An 18,440-nucleotide genomic window follows, 5' to 3' on the forward strand; every position below is an offset into this window, starting at 1 on the left:
CTGGTCTTGAACTCCTGGGCTCAACTAAGCCTCCTGCATCAGCCTGCCAAAGTGCTAAGATTACAGTGACGTGTTTCCTTGTTGTTTCATGTGGCTTATGTTCCTACATTAATGTCTGCACATTTGATGAAACAATCATCTCTTCTTATTTTATAGAGTAGCTTTCACGTGGAAAGATTTTTTTGCAGAAGTGTTCTATGGTGTCCATTGAGTAGGGTGCTTTGGCTTAGGTTCTGAGTAGGCATAATAGCGTAGTCTGGGCCGGGCATGGTGGCTCAAGCCTATAATCCCAGCACTATGGGAGGCCGAGGCGGGTGGATTGCAAGGTCAGGAGATTGAGACCATCCTGGCTAACATGGTGAAACCCCGTCTCTACTAAAAAATACAAAAAACTGGCCGGGCGTGGTGGCAGGTGCCTGTAGTCCCAGCTACTTGGGAGGCTGAGGCAGGACAATGCTGTGAACCTGGGAGGCGGAGCTTGCAGTGAGCCGAGATTGCACCACTGCACTCCAGCCTGGGCGACAGAGCGAGACTCTGTCTCAAAAAAAAAAAAAATATGTATATATATATATATATATATATATGTGTGTGTGTGTGTGTGTAGTGTAATCTGTATGTAATTACCATCAGCACTGTCTGTGAGTCCCTTAGTGGCCTACACTGTAGGTGTTTGTGGAAGTAGTGGCATATCTTTCTGATGGGTGGATGCTACCGGGGGCGGGGGGATCAGTTTTTAGTCCCTGAAGGGCTTCACCTAGCACAGTGGCTCTGCCAGTAGTGAGGATAGTGCTTTAGGTTACAGCAGGCTGGTCTTAAGTATTCACTGGGCAAAGGGAGTGTACACGACAAACGGCACCTTTGCAACTAAAGGGGACAAGGTCGCCAAAGGAGGCAGGTGCACGCAGGTGGCTCTTGGTCCAGGAGGGTACATGTGATGCACATCAGCTCTGCTGCTGGAGGAGGTGGGATCACCAGTGTCACTGGGTGCTAGGCAGCCATTTCTAGGACCGTAGAGTATACATGTTGCTCCCCACATTCCTGAAAGCAGCTTTCCCACTGCACTGGACAACCTGTTTAGGGTACTATGTGGGCTCAAGTGCTGATGTGGACTTGAATGCTGGTGTCACAGCTGTACCACTGGTCTGTCTGAAATCACGACACTGCAGCTTTCTGGGTGCGCATGGTGAGATGACAGTAGGGTCACAGGGATGTGGAAATGCAGGGGCTGTTTTACTCCAGGGCAGGATGTACTCTAGCAGTGGCTCTGTTCCCAAAATGGTTCCATGTAGTAGAAGTTTGGGTCTGGAGAATTTAGGGGGACTCAGTTTTTGTTTCTTCTCTGGAGCAATGCAGTGGTATGAACACCAGGTAGTTCACTGTTCTTGCTCAGGGCCTGTGAGAGCTGTGGGGCTCTCCTGTAGCCAAGATTGCAGGCATCCTTCATAGTAATAAGAGCTGTTGGGATCTTCCCTTACATTTTCCCTTCAATTGTGAGTCCCTCTTGTCTCTGAGCTGATACTGGCTAGGTGTTTTGCTTTCCTCTCTATGCTACCATGCTTTAAGTCATTTTCTTGCTACATTCCAATTTTCTTCTTTGGTCATACTGTACTTGAAGTGCAGTTATTTATTTGCTGTTTTAGTCCTTCTTGGTGGAAGAGACAAGTGTTGGGGACCTCCAGTCGGCTACATTTATGATGTCACCTCCAACAAAAATTGTAATAATTGTTCTATTTGAGTAGTGGAAACATTGTAGTGGTCCCTTATGTATAGGAGATACATTCCAAGACCACCATGGATGCTGAAACCACAAGCAGTACCAAACCCAATTTCCGTCAATTGGAACACATTTCTGTTCATATCTTCCACACACAAATTTAAGGCATTTTCCATCTTAACTAAGCACTTATTACAAACTGTGGCCATAATTTTTAAAGATTGATGTTTGGCAACAAAATTAACAAAAATTTCTCTTTTCAACTTCACAATTTCATGGATAGAAGATTGGTTCTTACCAGAGATCTTAGCAACCTCAGTATACAGTGATTTTTTATTACTAAGTCAAGAACTTTCACCTTTTTATTTGAAGTAAGCACTTTATGGCTTCTCTTTCTCACATTCAAATTTTTAATATCACCTTTGTGGCCATATTAAGTGAAATAAAAGTTGCTTAAACACAACAAGCACTCTGATCCCATGACAGCTACCAAGTGCCTGATGGATGGGTGATATATAGAGGCATGGGTATGCTGGGAAAAAAGTTAAGTCATGTTGCTGGTGAACAGAGCTGGATACTGCAAGATTTCTTCATATTATTCAGAATGGCACACAATTTAAAACTTATGAATTGCTTATTTCTGGAATTTTCCATTTAATATTTTTACACTGTTGTTGACCACAGGTAACTAAAACCACAGAAAATGAAACCATGAATAAGGGAACACTACTGTACTAGTATTTTCTCCTTTTATTTTTCTGTGTTTTATATTTTTTTCCTAAATAAGGATGTGTTACTTTCTCAGCAGAAATTTTATACAATGAAATTTTTACATGAAGACTGATAAACAATTATTAAATATAAGCTTGGTTTATTATTAGAAGTATCTTGAAATTCTCAAGAGAAAACTTACATTTTAATTTAATATATTAGTTATTTTACTCTACTTAATTTTTTTCAATTTTAGGTTGAGGTGTTATTTGACTATTGAACCAAATAAATTGTGATGATGTATTAGAATTTCTAGAAGGCCAAGGCAACACAGAAAATATATTTGAAAAATGACCAGCAAAACAAGGGGCTCCTTAGGTGCCAAATGTTTTCACTTGACCTCCTTCCCCTTAGTAATTTCTGGAGGTCTCATCTAGCTGCATCACTTTTAACTTCATCAGATCTTGTGATTAAATATTTCTCAGTTGTTGCTTGGAAAAATACAAAAGGATAACTATAATACCAATAGGACAGTTTTATTCATAACAAATATTTTTTAAGTGGAAAACATTACTTCAGTGTTCAACTTTTTTAAAAAACCAATTTGAAACTTTCCTATGTAAAAGTTAGTTAAATCTAACCAAAGTGTCCTGTTTTCAGTACTACTTGAGTTGTTTTCTGACTTAGTGACTCAAGGTGGGTCACTCAACCTCTTCTAAATTTCATTTTCACATCTCTTTAAGGAGCTAGAAAGATGTATTGTAAAGGACCATGATATGACATAAATGAAATAAAGTAATGTGTCTGAGACAATAACAATAATAGCTTACTTTTTATTAGATTGTATAAGATAATTATGAACTAATCACAATATTTTTGCTATATTTACTTAAATTTTTTGTTTGTTTGTTTCCTAAGTGGAGCTGCTGAGATTATGTGGAGCTCCCCTTTTAGGACTTCTTTCCTTCCTATCCCTTTGTGTGACTGTCTCTTCCTTTTTTTCTCCCCTTTGTTTGTTACTCTTTATCTTTCTCCATCCTCTACTTTGATCTCTTTATAAAAACACACACAAACACACAAACACAAACACTCATCAGTATTGTCTACTCTCTCTGACTCAAATATGCTCTATCTTCCCATGTTCTATGTCCCCCTATTGCCCCACCCCACAGACACACATATTCACACAGTTGAATAGAGAGACAAGGGTAAAAATGATAGCTGCAGCTTAGTCTTGGTCTGTCCCTCAGCTGGCAGAAATAATGTTTTGATTCCAAGCTCATAACAATGTGTATAAACAAACCTATATGAGTTTCAAGTGAGGAAGGAAATTTAGACCCTCTGCCTTCTAACATTCAACAGTTAAGATGGTCTATTTATTATGAATCAGGAGCATTTGCATCATGTGTACATTTTTTGAGAATACAAATTCTCAAACTCCACCCCAGACCTACTGAGAGGTGAAGCCAGCTGGGCTTCTGGGTTGGGTGGGTACTTGGAGAACTTTTCTGTCTAGCTAGAGGATTGTAAACACACCAATCAGCACTCTGTGTCTAGCTAAAGGACTGTAAATGCACCAACCAGCATTCTGTAAAAATGCACCAATCAGCACTCTGTGTCTAGCTAAAAGATTGTAAATGCACCAATCAGCACTCTGTAAAAATGCACCAATCAGTGCTCTGTGTCTAGCTAAAGGACTGTAAACACACCAATCGGCACTCTGTAAAAACGCACCAATCAGTGCCCTGTGTCTAGCTAAAGGATTGTAAATAGACCAGTCAGCATTCTGTAAAATGAACCTATCAGCACTCTGTAAAATGGACCAATCAGCAGGATATGGGCGGGGCCAAATAAGGGAATAAAAGCTGGCCACCCCAGCCAGCAGAGGCAACCTGCTTGGGTTCCCTTCCACGCTGTGAAAGCTTTGTTCTTTCGCTCTTCACAATAAATCTTGCTGCTGCTCACTCTTTGGGTCCGCACTAACTTTATGAGCTGTAACACTCACCACGAGGGTATGCAGCTTCATTCCTGAAGTCAGCAAGACCATGAACCCACGGGGATGAACAAATAACTTTGGATACATCACCTTTAAGAGCTGTAATGCTCACTGCAAAGGTCTGCAGCTTCACTCCTGAAGTCAACCAGACCATGATCCCACGGAACGGAAGAAACTCCGGACACATCTGAACATCTGAAGGAACAAACTCCGCACACACCATCTTTAAGAGCTGTAACACCCACCGCGAGGGTCCACAGCTTCATTCTTGAAGTCAGCAAGACCAAGAACCCACAAGAAGGAATAAATTCCGGACACACTGCTAAATCAGAAACTGCAGGTTGGCTGCAACAATCTGTACTTCAGTCCTCCATGTGAATGTGAACATGCTAATCTGGAGAAGTTCTGGGCTTGAGAAAAGCACCATTTTCTCCATGCCCTTTCCTTAAGGTTGCCAAGGCAGATCATTTCTTAATGGCTTATCTTGTCTTGTTGAAAAATAGATTGCCAAAATGGTGACCATAATCTGTGATTTATTAATTATGGAATGCAGCCCTTCTTAGTTGCAAGTTTCTGTGGAAAATTGATGAAGAGTATACTATGTTTGTTTCACCAAAATATGTAGTATATTTAGGAGAAATTCAAGTAGAGGTCTGTACTTACCCAGACTTCTGGGAAGGAAAAATAACATAAAACAAACAAATAGTGTATAAGTCTTTAAGTGAATTACTTGATTATTTATTTTAGCATTGTAAACCAGGAAAACAATCAAAATAGCAAAAAACTCTTAATCCTCATTTACGTATTAAGTGGATTCCAACCTGTGCAATCATCTTTAAAATCTCCAGTAATGCCTGGGCGCGGTTGCTCACGCCTGTAATCCCAGCACTTTGGGAGGCTGAGGCGGGTGGATCACTTGAGGTCAGGAGTTAAGACCAGCCTGGCTAACATGGTGAACCCCACCTCTACTAAAAATACAAAAATTAGCCAGGTGTGGTGGGGTATGCCTGTAGTCCCAGCTACTCGGGAGGCTGAGGCAGGAAAATTGCTTGAACCTGGGAGGCAAATGCTGCAGTGAGCCAAGATTGTGCCACTGTACCCCAGCCTGGGCGACAGAGTGAGATTAGTCTCAAAAAAAAAAAAAAAAAAAAAAAGAAAAGAAAAAGAAAAAGAAAACTCCAGTAATATAATGAGATTTATTTTGTAAAAGAGTCTGTTTCTTTTTAGTTGAGCTATAGTTAGTAATACTCTTCCCAGTAAGAATAGATGGTTCGAATTTTTCATATCTGCTTGATTCATCAAAGAAATATAGAAAGTAAGTCCCAAGAAAGCAAAGAAAAAATTTTTTCTTTTCCACTAATGTATCCTAAGCACCTGAAACTATGTTTGGCATATTTTAGGTGTTTAATAACTATTAATTAAATGAACAGTTGAGTAAAAACAATATTTATAGAAACTGTTCTTATCTCTTGTTTCTTTACTATACAGAGAGCTGGTTTCATGGGTATTTCATCAGTACAGTTGCACAAGGCCTGATGCTTAGAACGGCCCCCCTTTTGCTTTAATGCTGTAATATTACTATCTTAATGTTCTTAATAATTTTATCTTTGAAAGTATGTTTGTAAATGAAGTACTATGGGACAATAGAGAGTGTGCATGAGCAGAGGATATACATGAATATAACTGTCCACCACTACTTGCCAGTTCACTTGAACATAGTGCTTGCCATGCACCCTCACAACCATGAGCACAGAATTCCCATGGACCCATGATGTCGGGGCACTCAAGTCTCAAAGCAAATATGAGGTAAGAGTGTTACTTTTATACTGAGTAAATGGGGCACTGACAGCCCAAAGAGGCCATGTTGTTTCTTCAAACCAGAACTCTCTTCTAGCAGAAAGAAAGCAATGGCATTCCAAGAAACACAAAGTACCAAGAAATTATCATATTCTTTCTTATGCCATTCCTTCCTCACACTAGCCAACCACTTATGATGAAAATTATGACATAAAGAGAAACGAAAACACAGGGCACCCATAGTTCCTTTTTTTGAAAGTCTTTATCAGTGTGCTGAAGGTAGAGAGTGTTGGTAGAATGTGTATTTGTCAAAAAGTAAAATAAAAACAGTTGCATTAGTTTCGTGTAGCATTTCTACTGTTCTGATAAAAATGACATATATATGCATGTATGACCTACAAAATATATATTATGCAATATCAGTGATTCCACATGTGAAGTAAATGTTATTATATTTCAGTTAACACTGGCACTATATACTATAATTGACAAAAAATCTATGCTAATATTTTAAAATGTATTTTTTCTTTATTTAGAATGACAATAAGTCGCAAATAAAATACTATACATGTTGAGAGGGATATTGTGGAAAAAAGAAAAACGTTCTATATTCTAATACTTTTAGCTAAACTTTTTCTGCTGTTTAAACAAAGGATGTTGTGTTATTACTTACCCAATTATATAACTGACCCTAACTAGCCGTAAGTACTACCGAAAGACTCATACAATCAATACAACCCTCCAGATATGCTGGTCCTCTCTCTAGTGCTTTATCTTCGCATCTGTCATTCCTGCTTTCTCAAGGCCAACACTCAATTTTGAAATCAGACTAACTTGATTTATATGCTGCCTTCTATTTTTAAGTGTGTGACTTAACCTCTACATTTTCTTAGTTTTTACCTCCACATTTGTGAATGGGGCTTGCTAATACCTACTTTTTAGAGTACTGATGAGAATACAATATTTTCTAGGAAGTTAAAATAATATAATATGTGTAAAACTCCTGCTATAAATGGCTTCAGGGCCAGGCAGGTAGTAGAATGGTTTGGCACTTTAGCATCAGCCAGTACGTAATGTTGAGAATAAATAGAAAAGAAAAACGAAAGAAAGAAATAAAGAAAGAGTGAACGGACAAATGAACAAAAGAAAAAGGAAGGGGTAAAGGAAGGAAGGAAAAAAGGAAGAAAGGAAGGAAGGAAGGAAGGAAGGAAACAGGGAAAAAATACTGTAGTGGTAAGCCATGAGCAATGGAATACAAGCTTAAAAAAATACTTAAAGCATTGTGTTTAACCAAATATTTCTATCACAATGGCTACAATGTAAAAGACTGACAAGACCACAAGACCAAGGGTGGGCAACAGTGTGGACTGAACAGAACTCTCATACACCACTGTTGAAAATTATATAACTACACTGCAAAACAGTTTCTGGAAAAAAATTAAGAAATATGTTCATACAAAAGAAATGACAACATACGTCCACACAAGACTTGTGCACAATATTCATGTTAGCTTTATTATAGTAGACAATACCTACAGGCAACTCCAATGTGGTAGTGGAAAAATTTCCTCCATGAAAATGGGAATTAACGGCTGATATAGGCACAACCTGAATAAATCTTAAAAAACATTATACTGACTGATTAAAACTAGACATAAATTATGGCATGCTACATGATTCCATTTACGTAAAATTATAGAACTATCACTATAGAACTACATATGAAATACTTCATCTAGAAGTATATAGAATCATACAAAGCAGGAACAAAAAGGAATTTCAGTGGTTTCCAGGGGCCAGGGTTGGAGGGCAGGAGTAACCCCCTGGAGAATATGGGAATGTCCTGTCTCTTAGTCACTCTGTCAATTCTAAACAAATTTTAACTTTCAATTGCTGAAGTTTATTTTATGCACATTATATCTTAAGTTGATTCTAAAGTAAATAATTGGGTGAGAAAATAAAGGCCAGAGAGAGAACTCATGGACTTAGCCACACAGCAGACCAGCAGAGGGGCTGGAACAAATTCCCAACCGTCCTGCAATCCTCAGAATAAACAACAAAAACATTTTGTGGTGTTGTTGGTGGTCAAACAAACTATATTTTCAGAGGGTTCATCTCACAGGCTGGCAGTATGCAGTCTATGGTGTAGATAGTAAATGAATGCTTGGATCCCTTTTCCTACTCATCACAATTCCACTTCTACTACAACATCTTTATGTGAAAAATGGTTTATTTACAAGCCCCACTAGAACATTCACATCTTTGGTCAAAACTTCTTCGCCTTTTCCAGGTGGTTGGCCTACTTCTCTGGGATCCTGAAGTACTGGACTCATGCTGTTATTTGAGCTTTTATCACTGATACTGGAATTAGAAATGTAGAGTCTGAAGTTTGGCTGTACTACTTATTATTGTGTGACCTTGAATGAGTCATTGACACTTTGGATTTCATTTTTTTCTCTATCAAATGAAGAAAATAGGCTGGGCACGGTGGCTCATGTCTGTAATTCCAGTACTTTGGGAGGCCGAGGCAGGCAGATCATGAGGCCAGGAGATCAAGACCATCCTGGCTAACATGGTGAAACCCTGTATCTACTAAAAATACAAAAAATTAGCTGGGCATGGTGGCACACACCTGTAGTCCCAGCTACCCAGGAGGCGGAGGCAGGAGAATCACTCGAACCCGGGAGGCAGAGGTTGCAGTGAGACGAGATCGCGCCACTGCACTCCAGCCTGGGCGACAGAGTGAGATTCCGTCTCAAAAAAAGAAAAAAGAAAAGAAAATAATAACAATAATAATGATGCCACATTAGTTCTTGAGAGGTGACATTAGATATGAAAAGTGCTAGGAACAGTTCCCGGCACTTGGTAAACAGAAATCAGTACGTGTTACTTTTTTCATTTTCATCATAAGCATTGTTATTTTGGGCTGCATCTCCTCATGCCTATCTTTCCCATTATTCTAAAAGTCGCTCCTGGGACGTGAGGATGCCTTGCTCTTTCCATCCCCAGCACCTGAGCTGAAGTGGTCTGTAAGTGCATAATGAATAAGCGGGTGGGTGAGTCAGAAGCTGGGCATCTATTCACAGTTCCTTGTTACTTGATAGTGACTAATGTGAACCTAGTCACGCTGACCTTCACAAGTACTGAGGAAATATCTTTCTTCTTTTCTTTGGAAGCAGTGAAGCTTAACCTTCATTTGTTAGGCTCTCCGCCAAGAAGAAGGCACAAAAGAGTACTTTATCCAATTTATGAAGGCATAGTAAAAATAAAGGCTCCACAGAGTTCCTGAGGGCACGAGGCTCCTGCCGCTGAGGCGGTGGATAACCAACCTGGTAGATGCTCCACGACTCTACTCAATGCGTCACACCAAAGCACAGCATTAATGCAGAGAGAAACAGAGTGTGTGGATTCTGCATTCACCCTTTTCAAAGAACAGAATGAATCAGGAAAAAGCTATAGTTCATGCAGTGCCATTTTCAAAACATAGCAAATCCAGGTTAGGTTAGGAGAATAATGGATCCTAAGGGAAGTAGCAGTAAGTGATGTGTACCTGGAGGGGGAATAGTCTAAAGGAAAGTTGCTGCATTTCTCATCGTACATCCAAAGGATGTTCAAGATTTCAGTATTGCTTTGCTTGGAGGTTTATGCCTTTTCATTAATTTGTTCAATGACTTTATATTTTTTAAATATTAAAAAAACTATACCTATTGTAAAATGTGGAAAATATGTTATCAGAAATATAGATTACCCCAATTTAAAAATAAACACTTTAAATTTTGCTTTATATTCCTAAAGTTTCTGGTAAATTGATACTTATGTGGCAAGAAAAACATTAATCAAGGAATTCTCAGACTTCACATTTTCCTTTCCTGTTAAAAAGAATTCTGCCTGGGAGCACACATTTCTCTTCCATTTCTTGTGTTCAGCCTTCCAGAGAAAGTCCTTCTATCTCTAGATGAGCCCATTGGGCCTTAGGTTTTACTAATTAGGAAAAGTGGTAGGGCTAACAGAAGAAGCTTTGGTTTGGAGAAGGATAGATGTTGAAGAGAATATTCTGGAAGATGGATGTGAGAGAAAGCTGAGGAATGTGCAGAAAGAAAATGAAAGTGAAAGGGAGCTTTCAAAAAAGCATTGTTAGGTGGAATGACATATCTGTATGGTATTTGAGAAAAATATGGAAAGTATTGTCCATAAGAGTCATTGTAAATTATTTTTTGGTTGCCAGATTATGTTTTATTGACAAATAGTTTGGATTCATAACCCTTGCTGCGACAGAACTGGATCTCAGAGGTAACAACTTTTTAATGATATAAAAGAAGATATCAATGTGTATATAGAAAAAAACAGCATAAGTACAGGCACCGGTATAAATATAGATGGTATTGAGCTAGATATATATTCACTTAAGTATCAACTTCAATACAAGGAGATCTTGGATAGAATTAGAGGAGGAAATAAAAAGACAGAAAAGGAAACTTGACACCACATCATATTATTTTAAAAGACCTTTTCTCAGAGAATATAAAATAAACATGATTTTATATTAATAAATCTTTCAGCTATGATTTTTTTCATAAAATGATCAGACAGCCACACAAACCAGTTCAACTGAACAGAACTTCATTGTATTAACACACATAAGAAAATAAAAGAGGAGGCTGGGAGCGGTGGCTCACGCCTGTAATCCCAGCACTTTGGGAGTCTGAGGCGGGCAGATCAAGAGGTCAAGAGATCCAGACCATCCTGGCCAACATGGTGAAACCCTGTCTCTACTAAAAATACAAAAATAAGCTGGGTGTGGTGGTGCACACCTGTAGTCCCAGCTATTCAGGAGGCTGAGACAGGAGAATTGCTTGAACCTGGGAGGTGGAGGTTGCAGTGAGCCGAGATCACGCCACTGAACTCCAGACTGGCGACAGAGCAAGACTCTGAAAAAAAAAAAAAGAAAAAAGAAAAGAAAAGAGCAAAAACTCAACAATATATTTTTAAAGGAAGTCCAGTCCTCATTCATGGAGATTGAAAGTGGAGAGTCGTTGAGATTCTCAGCAGCTCTGGAATGTTAGCACACAGGCTCTGTGATATGGCACAAAAATACCCAGATAAGAGCTAATTATAAACCCACTGTCTTTTTTCTTTTCTTTCTTCCAATCAGCTGTGAAATCCTTCCATGTTCCTAGCTTGCATTTCTAAGAGAGGAAGAAACTGAATAATCTATAGATCTCATTGTTTTAGATGTTAACTATTACTTCAATTTGAGAACAGAGTGTCACACAAATTCATGACATGCGTAGCTGGCTAGCATGAGGATAAGTCATTGCTCTGGGCTGAGAGAACAAGGTTACAAGATAGTTGTATTATTTACATATCATACCTTTATTGCAACTGAAATTAGACAAAAGAAAGAGAAAGTTTTATTGGCTCATATAACTTGAGAGTTCATGGATAGTCAAGGTGCAGGTATGGCTAAATAAATGTGGTCAAATTATATTATTAGGAATATGTTTATCTTCATTTCCCAGTTCTGACTTTATTTGCTTTGCCATTATTCCCAATTAGGTTTTTCCCATGTAATAACAAAAATATCCATCATTTCTAAGAGTTTTTTGTTGGAGTCTTTAGGTTTTTCTATACATAACATTATGCCTGCAACAGAGATAATTTGACTTCCTTTTTTCCAATGCATATGCCCTTTATTTTCTTCTTTTGTCTAATTGTTCTAAAACTTCCAATTCTATGTTGAATAAGAGTGTTGAAAGCAAGCTTCCTTGCATTATTCCAGGTCTTAGAGGAAAAACATTCAACTTTTCTCCTTTCAGTATGATGTTAGCAGTGGGTTTATCATATATGCCCTGTATCGTGTTGAGGCACATTCATTCTATACAGTAAGTGCTTAACATCATTGAAAGGTTCTTGAAACTGCAACTTCAAGTGAAATGACATACAGCAGGTCCTCAAATTATGTAATTTTATTCAACATTGTTATAACATTCCTAAGAAAACTATTGGTTTCCCTATATGTCATTTCACCTAAAGTCACAGTTTCTAAGAACCAGTAAATGATGTTAAGTGAGAACTTGCTATATCTAATGTGATAGTTTTTATCAAGAAGTGATGTTAAATTTTATCAAATGCTTTCTCTGCATCTATTGAGACAATCATATGTTTTTTGTCCTTCATTATGTCGTTGTGAGGTATCATGTTTATTGATTTGCATATGTTGAACCATCCTTTCATCCCTGAAATTAATTACACTTGATTATGTTGTATAATCTTGTAAATGTATTATTGGATTCCATTTACTAGTTAAAGATTTTTGCATCTGTGTTCATCAGAGACATTCGCCTGTAGTTTTGTTGTTGTTGTGTCCTTGTCTTGTTTTGGTATCAGGATGATGCTGGCCTCATACTGTGAGTTTGGAAGAATTCTCTCCTATTCAGTTTTTTGGAATAGTTTGAGAAGAATTTGTATTAGTTTTTCTTTAAAGGTTTGGTAGAATTCAGAAATGAAGCCATTTGGTCCTAGGTTTTTCTTGGTTGGGAGATTTGTTCTTACTGACTCAACCTCGTGGCTCATTGGTCTATTCTGGTGTTCTAACTATTCTTGGTTCAATCTTGGAAGGATATATGTATCCATGAATTTATTTCTTCTAGATTTTCCATTTTGTTTTGTTTTGTTTCCATTTTGTTCCATTTTCCATTTTGTTGATAATAGTCTTTAATAATATTTTATATTTCTATAGTATTAGTTGTAATGTGTTCTCTTTCATTTCTGATTTCACTTATTTGGGTCTTCTTTCATTTTTTATTATAATTTAAGTTCTGGGGTACATGTGCAGAAAGTGCAGGTTTGTTACATAGTTATACACTTGTCATGGTGGTTTGCTGTACGCATCAACCCATCATTTACATTAGGTATTTCTCCTAATGCTATCCCTCTCCTAGCCCCCGAACTCCCGACAGGCCCTGGTGTGTGATATTCCCCTCCCTGTGCCAGAACACTTGGCTTCAGCCCCATTTCCAGGGGAGTGAATGGTTCTGTCTCAGTGGTGTTCCAGGTGCCACTGGGGTATGAAAAATAAACTCCTGCAGCTGGCTTGGTGTCTGCCCAAACATCCACCCAGTTTTGTGCTGGAAACCCAGGGCCCTGGTGGTGTAGGCACCAGAGGGAATCTCCTGGTCTGTGGGTTGCAAAGACCGTGGGAAAAGCACAGTATCTGGGCCAGAGTGCACGGTACCGTCCCTAATGACTTCCTTTGATTAGGAGAGGGAGTTCCCCGACCCCTTGTGCTTCCTGAGTGAGGCGATGCCACACTCTGCTTCGGCTCACCCCCCTTGGGCTGCACCCACTTTCCAACCAGTCCCAGTGAGATGAACTGGGTACCTCAGTTGGAAATGCAGAAATCACTTGCCGTCTGTGTTGATCTCCCTGGGAGCTGCAGACCAGAGCTGTTCCTATTCGGCCATCTTGCCTCTTCACTGGGTCGTCTTTATTGTGCTCAGAGAAGTAGAGAGTAGAGTACTTGTCACCAGAGGATGGGAAATGGATGGAGCAGGGGGAATAGGGAAAGAACGACTCATGGATACAAAATTATACCTAGATAGGAGGAATAAATTTTCATTTTCTATAGTATTATAGAGTGACTACAGTTAACAATAATTTAGTATATATTTTCAAACAGTTAGAAGAGATTATTTTGCAACTTCCCAACACAAAGAAATAATAAATGTTTGAGGCGATGGATATGTTAATTTCTCTGAATTGATATTTACATATTGAATACCTATATCACTCTCTACTTCATAAATATATACAAGTGTTATACGTCAGTTAAAAAATTAAAAAGCCAAAAAAAAGGGCCACCGTGTTAAGCAATCCATGTACCAGGAGAAAGATCAACCTCCATGGAAAGAGACTGTGTCTTTTCCTTTAACTACAACAGGATTCCTGTGCTTGCTTCTGACTCACCCAGCTTGATAAGTTATAGGCCTACTTCTGAGTCTGTCAATGTAGTTTGGAGGAAAAAGTAATCGTACTGGCCAAACTGGGGATCTAGGAATGTGTCAGCCTCACCTAAGCCATATGGGGTCAAAGTCAGAGAAGTAAAGTTAATGAATATTGGACAGGGATAATCAACAGAAAGGAAACAGAGATATATACCAGTTGAGTCAGTGAAATTTGATCAATGACTATTGGGAAAGCTGTGGTCAGTAATTAGGAAGAATTATAAAGAATGGTGCCATGTTTCAGAGATTTTCTCAGAGGTACATTACCACTTTTAGGCCCACAGAGGCCAAAAATGAAGCAATTCTGGAATCCAGGGAGAGATCTATATAGAAAGGGATGCTTGAGAAGAGGAGACAGTCAACCAATTTTAATAGAGGGGCACAGTCAACCAATGATGACATGACAGGGCAGTAAATGTTGAAATAAATTCTCTAAACTCACTCTTCCTATTTCCTTTGAGTGCCACCCATCCCAACTGCAAGCCACAGAGCAAGAAAGCTGATTGTTGATTACTTTTACTTATTTTGTATATAAAATAAGACAAGATCATCTCTGTAGATAAACACTTTTAAGAATTTCATGTGCAAACCTTCAAATTCCTCTGTTTCTACAAAGCACAGAACCATAAGCACATATATGTATATATTCACATATTTATGTGTTTTATTAAAAAATATACATATATACAGAATCACATACATGAATACATAATTATTTGTATGTGTATGTCTCACAAAACAGTCAACTCTGTAAGTTGCTATTAATATAATAAATTGTAGATATCTTTCTAAGTTAATGTATTTATATTTCTAATTATTTTATTGGATACACAAAATTCTTTATAAGTTTTTATAATTTTTAAGCCATTATCCTCTTGAGAGACTTTTAGGTTGTTTCTGAGTTTGGCTATTACATACATAGCTATTATATATTCCCATTTACATATCATTATGAATGTTGGGGTACCTGAGTCATGCTTATACAGATTTTTATGGTACTATCCTTCATAATTATTCTCCAATATTAAATTTTGTACATTTAAACATGAAATATAGTATTCTTTCAACTTTGCAAAATCTGCATCTTTCCCATCTGTGTTAGTTTCTTGTGCTGCCCTAACAAATTACAGCAAACCTGTTTCCTTAAACAAAAGAAATGCATGCCCTCACTATTCTGGAGGCCACAAGTCTGCAATCAAAATGTCAATGGGACAGGTACTTTCTAGAAGTTCTGAGAGAGAAGGTGTTTCATGCCTCCCTTCTAGCTTCTGGTGGCTGTGGGCAATCCTGGGCATATCTTGAATTATAGCTTCATCATTCCAACCTCTGCCTCTGCCTTCACATGAATTTCTTCCTTTGTGTCTATGTCTTTTCCTTTTCTGTCTTTTATTAGGATATCTGCCATGTCATTAGGCTTAGTGTAGGCCCTAAATCCAGGATGATCTCATCTCAAGATCCTTAAATTAATTATATCTGCAGAAATTCTAGTTCTAAATAAGGTCACATTCACAGTACTAGGGGTTAAAATTTGAACATATTTTTTTGGGAACAGTTCAATCCCCTACAAAAGCTAATATTTTATTTCACCAGTATATGACAATCCTCTCTTTATTATTTCTTTATTTTGTCTTTCTTTCATAGTTATGGAGTGTTAGTGCATTAGCCTATTCTCATACTACTATAAGAACTGCCCAACACTGGGTAATTTATAAAGAAAAGGAGTTTAATTGACTCATAGTTCTGCATGGCTTGGGAAGCCTCAGGAAACTTACAATCATGGAAGAAGGTGAAGCAAAGACATCCTTCACAAGGCAGTCAGAGTGAGAAGTGCACAGTGATGGAGGAAGAGCCCCTTGGAAAACCATCAGACCTCGTGAGAACTCACTATCATGAGAACAGCTTTGGGGAACCACATCCATGATCCAGTCACCTCCCAGGAGGTCCCTTCCTGCAAACCTGGGGATTACAATTTGAATAACTCAAGAGGAGATTTGGGTGGGGACACAGGACTAGACCATATCATTACACCCCTGGCCCCTCCCAAATCTCATGTCTTTTCACATTTCAAAACCAATCATGCTTTCCCAAGAGTCTCCCAATGCCTTAACTCATTTCAGCATCAACTAAAAAGTCCACAGTCAAAATCTCATCTTAGACAAGGCAAGTACCCTCCACCTATGAGCCTGTAAAATCAAATGCAAGTTAGTAACTTCTTAGATCTAATAAGGATACAGTCACTGGGTAAATGCTCCCATTCAAATTGGGAGAAATTGGCCAAAACAATGGAGCTACAGAACCCATGGAAGTCCAAAATCCAATAGGGCAGTCATTAAAGTTCCAAAATGATCTGCTTTGAGTCCGTGTCTCACATCCAGGTTATGCTGATGCAAGAGGTGGGCTCCCATGGTCTTGGGCAGATTTATCCCTGTGACTTTGCAGAGTGCAGTCCCCCTCCTGACTGCTTTCACAGGCTGGCATGGAGTGTCTGTAGCTTTTCCAGGTGCAGAGTGCAAGCTGTCAGTGGATCTACCATTCTGGGGCCTAGCAGATGATGGGACTCTTCTCACAGCTCCACTAGGCAGTGCCCCAGGGAAGACTCTGTGTGGGGGCTCCAACCCCATATTTCCCTTCTGCACTGCACGAGCAGAGGTTCTCCATGAGGGCTTTGCCCCTGCAGCAAACTTCTGCCTGGACATCCAGGCATTCTTATACATCCTCTGAAATCTAGACCAAGATTCTCAAAACTCAATTCTTGATTTCTGTGCACCTGCACTCCCAACACCATGTATAAGCTGCTAAAGCTTGGGGCTCACGCCCTCTGAAGCAATGGCCTGAACTATATGTGGTCCCCTTTTAGCCATGGCTGAGACAGACAGCCCCAAGTCCCAAGATTGCACGAAGCCACAAGGCCCTGGGCCTGGCCCATGAAGCCATTTTTTCCTCCTATGCCTCTAGGCCTGTGATGAGAGGGGCTGCCATGAGGCCCTCTGACATGTCCTAGAGACATTTTCCCCATTGTCTTGGTGATTAACATTTGACTCCTTGTTACTTATGCAAACTTTTGCAGCTGGCTTGAATTTCTCCCCAGAAAATGGTTTTCTCATTTCTACCACGTAGTCAGGGTACAAATTTCCAAGTTTTTATGCTCTGTTTCTCTTTTAAACATAGGTTCCAATTCCAAACCATCTCTTTGTGAATGCATAAAAGTGAATGCTTTTGAGAGCACCCAAGTCACATCCTGAATGCTTTGCTGCTTAGAAATTTCTTCATCCAGACACCCCAAATTATCTCTCTCAAGTTCAAAGTTCCACAGATCTCAGGGCAGGGGTGAAATGCTACCAGTCTCTTTGCTAAAGCATAGCAAGAATCACCTTTATTCCAATTCCCAAAAAGTTACTCATCTCCATCTGAGACCACCTCTGCCTGGGCTTTATTGTCCATATCATTTTCTGTATTTTGGTCAAAGCCATTCAACAATTCTCTAGGGAGTTCCAAACTTTCCCACATCTTCCTGTCTTATTATGAGCCCGCCAAACTGTTCCAACCTCTGCCTGTTACCCAGTTCCAAAGTTGCTTTCACATTTTCTGTTATCTTTATATCAGTGCCTCACTACCTCGGTACCAATTTACTATATCAGCCCATTATCACACTGCTGTAAAGAACTGCCTGAGCCTAGGCAGTTTAAAGAAAAGTGGTTTAATTGACTCACAGTTCTGCCTGGCTGAGGAGGCTTCAGAAAACCTACAATTATGGCAGAAGGGGAAGCAAACAGGCAGCAGGAGAGAGAAGTACCAAGCAATGGAGAAAAAATGCCTTATAAAACCATCAGTTTTTGTGAGAACTCACTCACTATCATGAGAATAGCATGGGGGAATCATGCCCATGATCCAATCACCTCCCACGAGTTTCCTCCCCCAACATATAGGGATTAAAAGTTGGATTACAATTGAAGATGAGATTTTGGTGGGGACACAGAGCCAGACCATATCAGTTAGTTTCTTTTCATGTTTGTTAGGTTATTCTTATGCTAATTGTCTGGGTTTTTTCATTTGTATTTCTTTATTAGTTGCAGATTTAAAATATATTATCAATAATAGATCTATGTTGTGTGATACATTGGAAGTATATTTTATCATTTAAATTTTTTTTGGGGGGGTATAAACTTATATTAAACTTATATTATTTCCTGCCATGCAAAATACCTACTTTTTGCTTTGT

General features: G+C 38.9%; 1 long non-coding RNA gene across 2 annotated transcripts in view, besides 2 other annotated features; it reads left to right on the top strand.

Moving 5' to 3' along the window:
- LOC105374511 (uncharacterized) overlaps positions 1–18,440 on the top strand; it is a 482,145-nt gene that overhangs the window by 311,424 nt on the left and 152,281 nt on the right. The gene's annotated exons all lie outside the window — the stretch shown is intronic.
- Positions 8,760–9,959: an enhancer, noted in NCBI's record as "CDK7 strongly-dependent group 2 enhancer chr4:19777224-19778423 (GRCh37/hg19 assembly coordinates)". NCBI's record gives its function as "activates an origin of replication core promoter dependent on BRD2, BRD4, P300/CBP, MED14 and CDK7 cofactors, with strong dependence on CDK7, by STARR-seq in HCT116 cells {active_cell/tissue: HCT116}" and the evidence as "EXISTENCE:reporter gene assay evidence [ECO:0000049][PMID:35650434]".
- Positions 9,296–9,465: an enhancer, noted in NCBI's record as "experimental_77522 CRE fragment used in MPRA reporter constructs". NCBI's record gives its function as "activates a minimal promoter by MPRAs in K562 erythroleukemia cells, with activity observed for both the introgressed and non-introgressed 4:19777845 variant alleles {active_cell/tissue: K562}" and the evidence as "EXISTENCE:reporter gene assay evidence [ECO:0000049][PMID:34662402]".

This window comes from Homo sapiens, chromosome 4 (genome assembly GCF_000001405.40).
Source record: "Homo sapiens chromosome 4, GRCh38.p14 Primary Assembly".
Taxonomy (NCBI): Eukaryota; Metazoa; Chordata; class Mammalia; order Primates; family Hominidae; genus Homo; species Homo sapiens.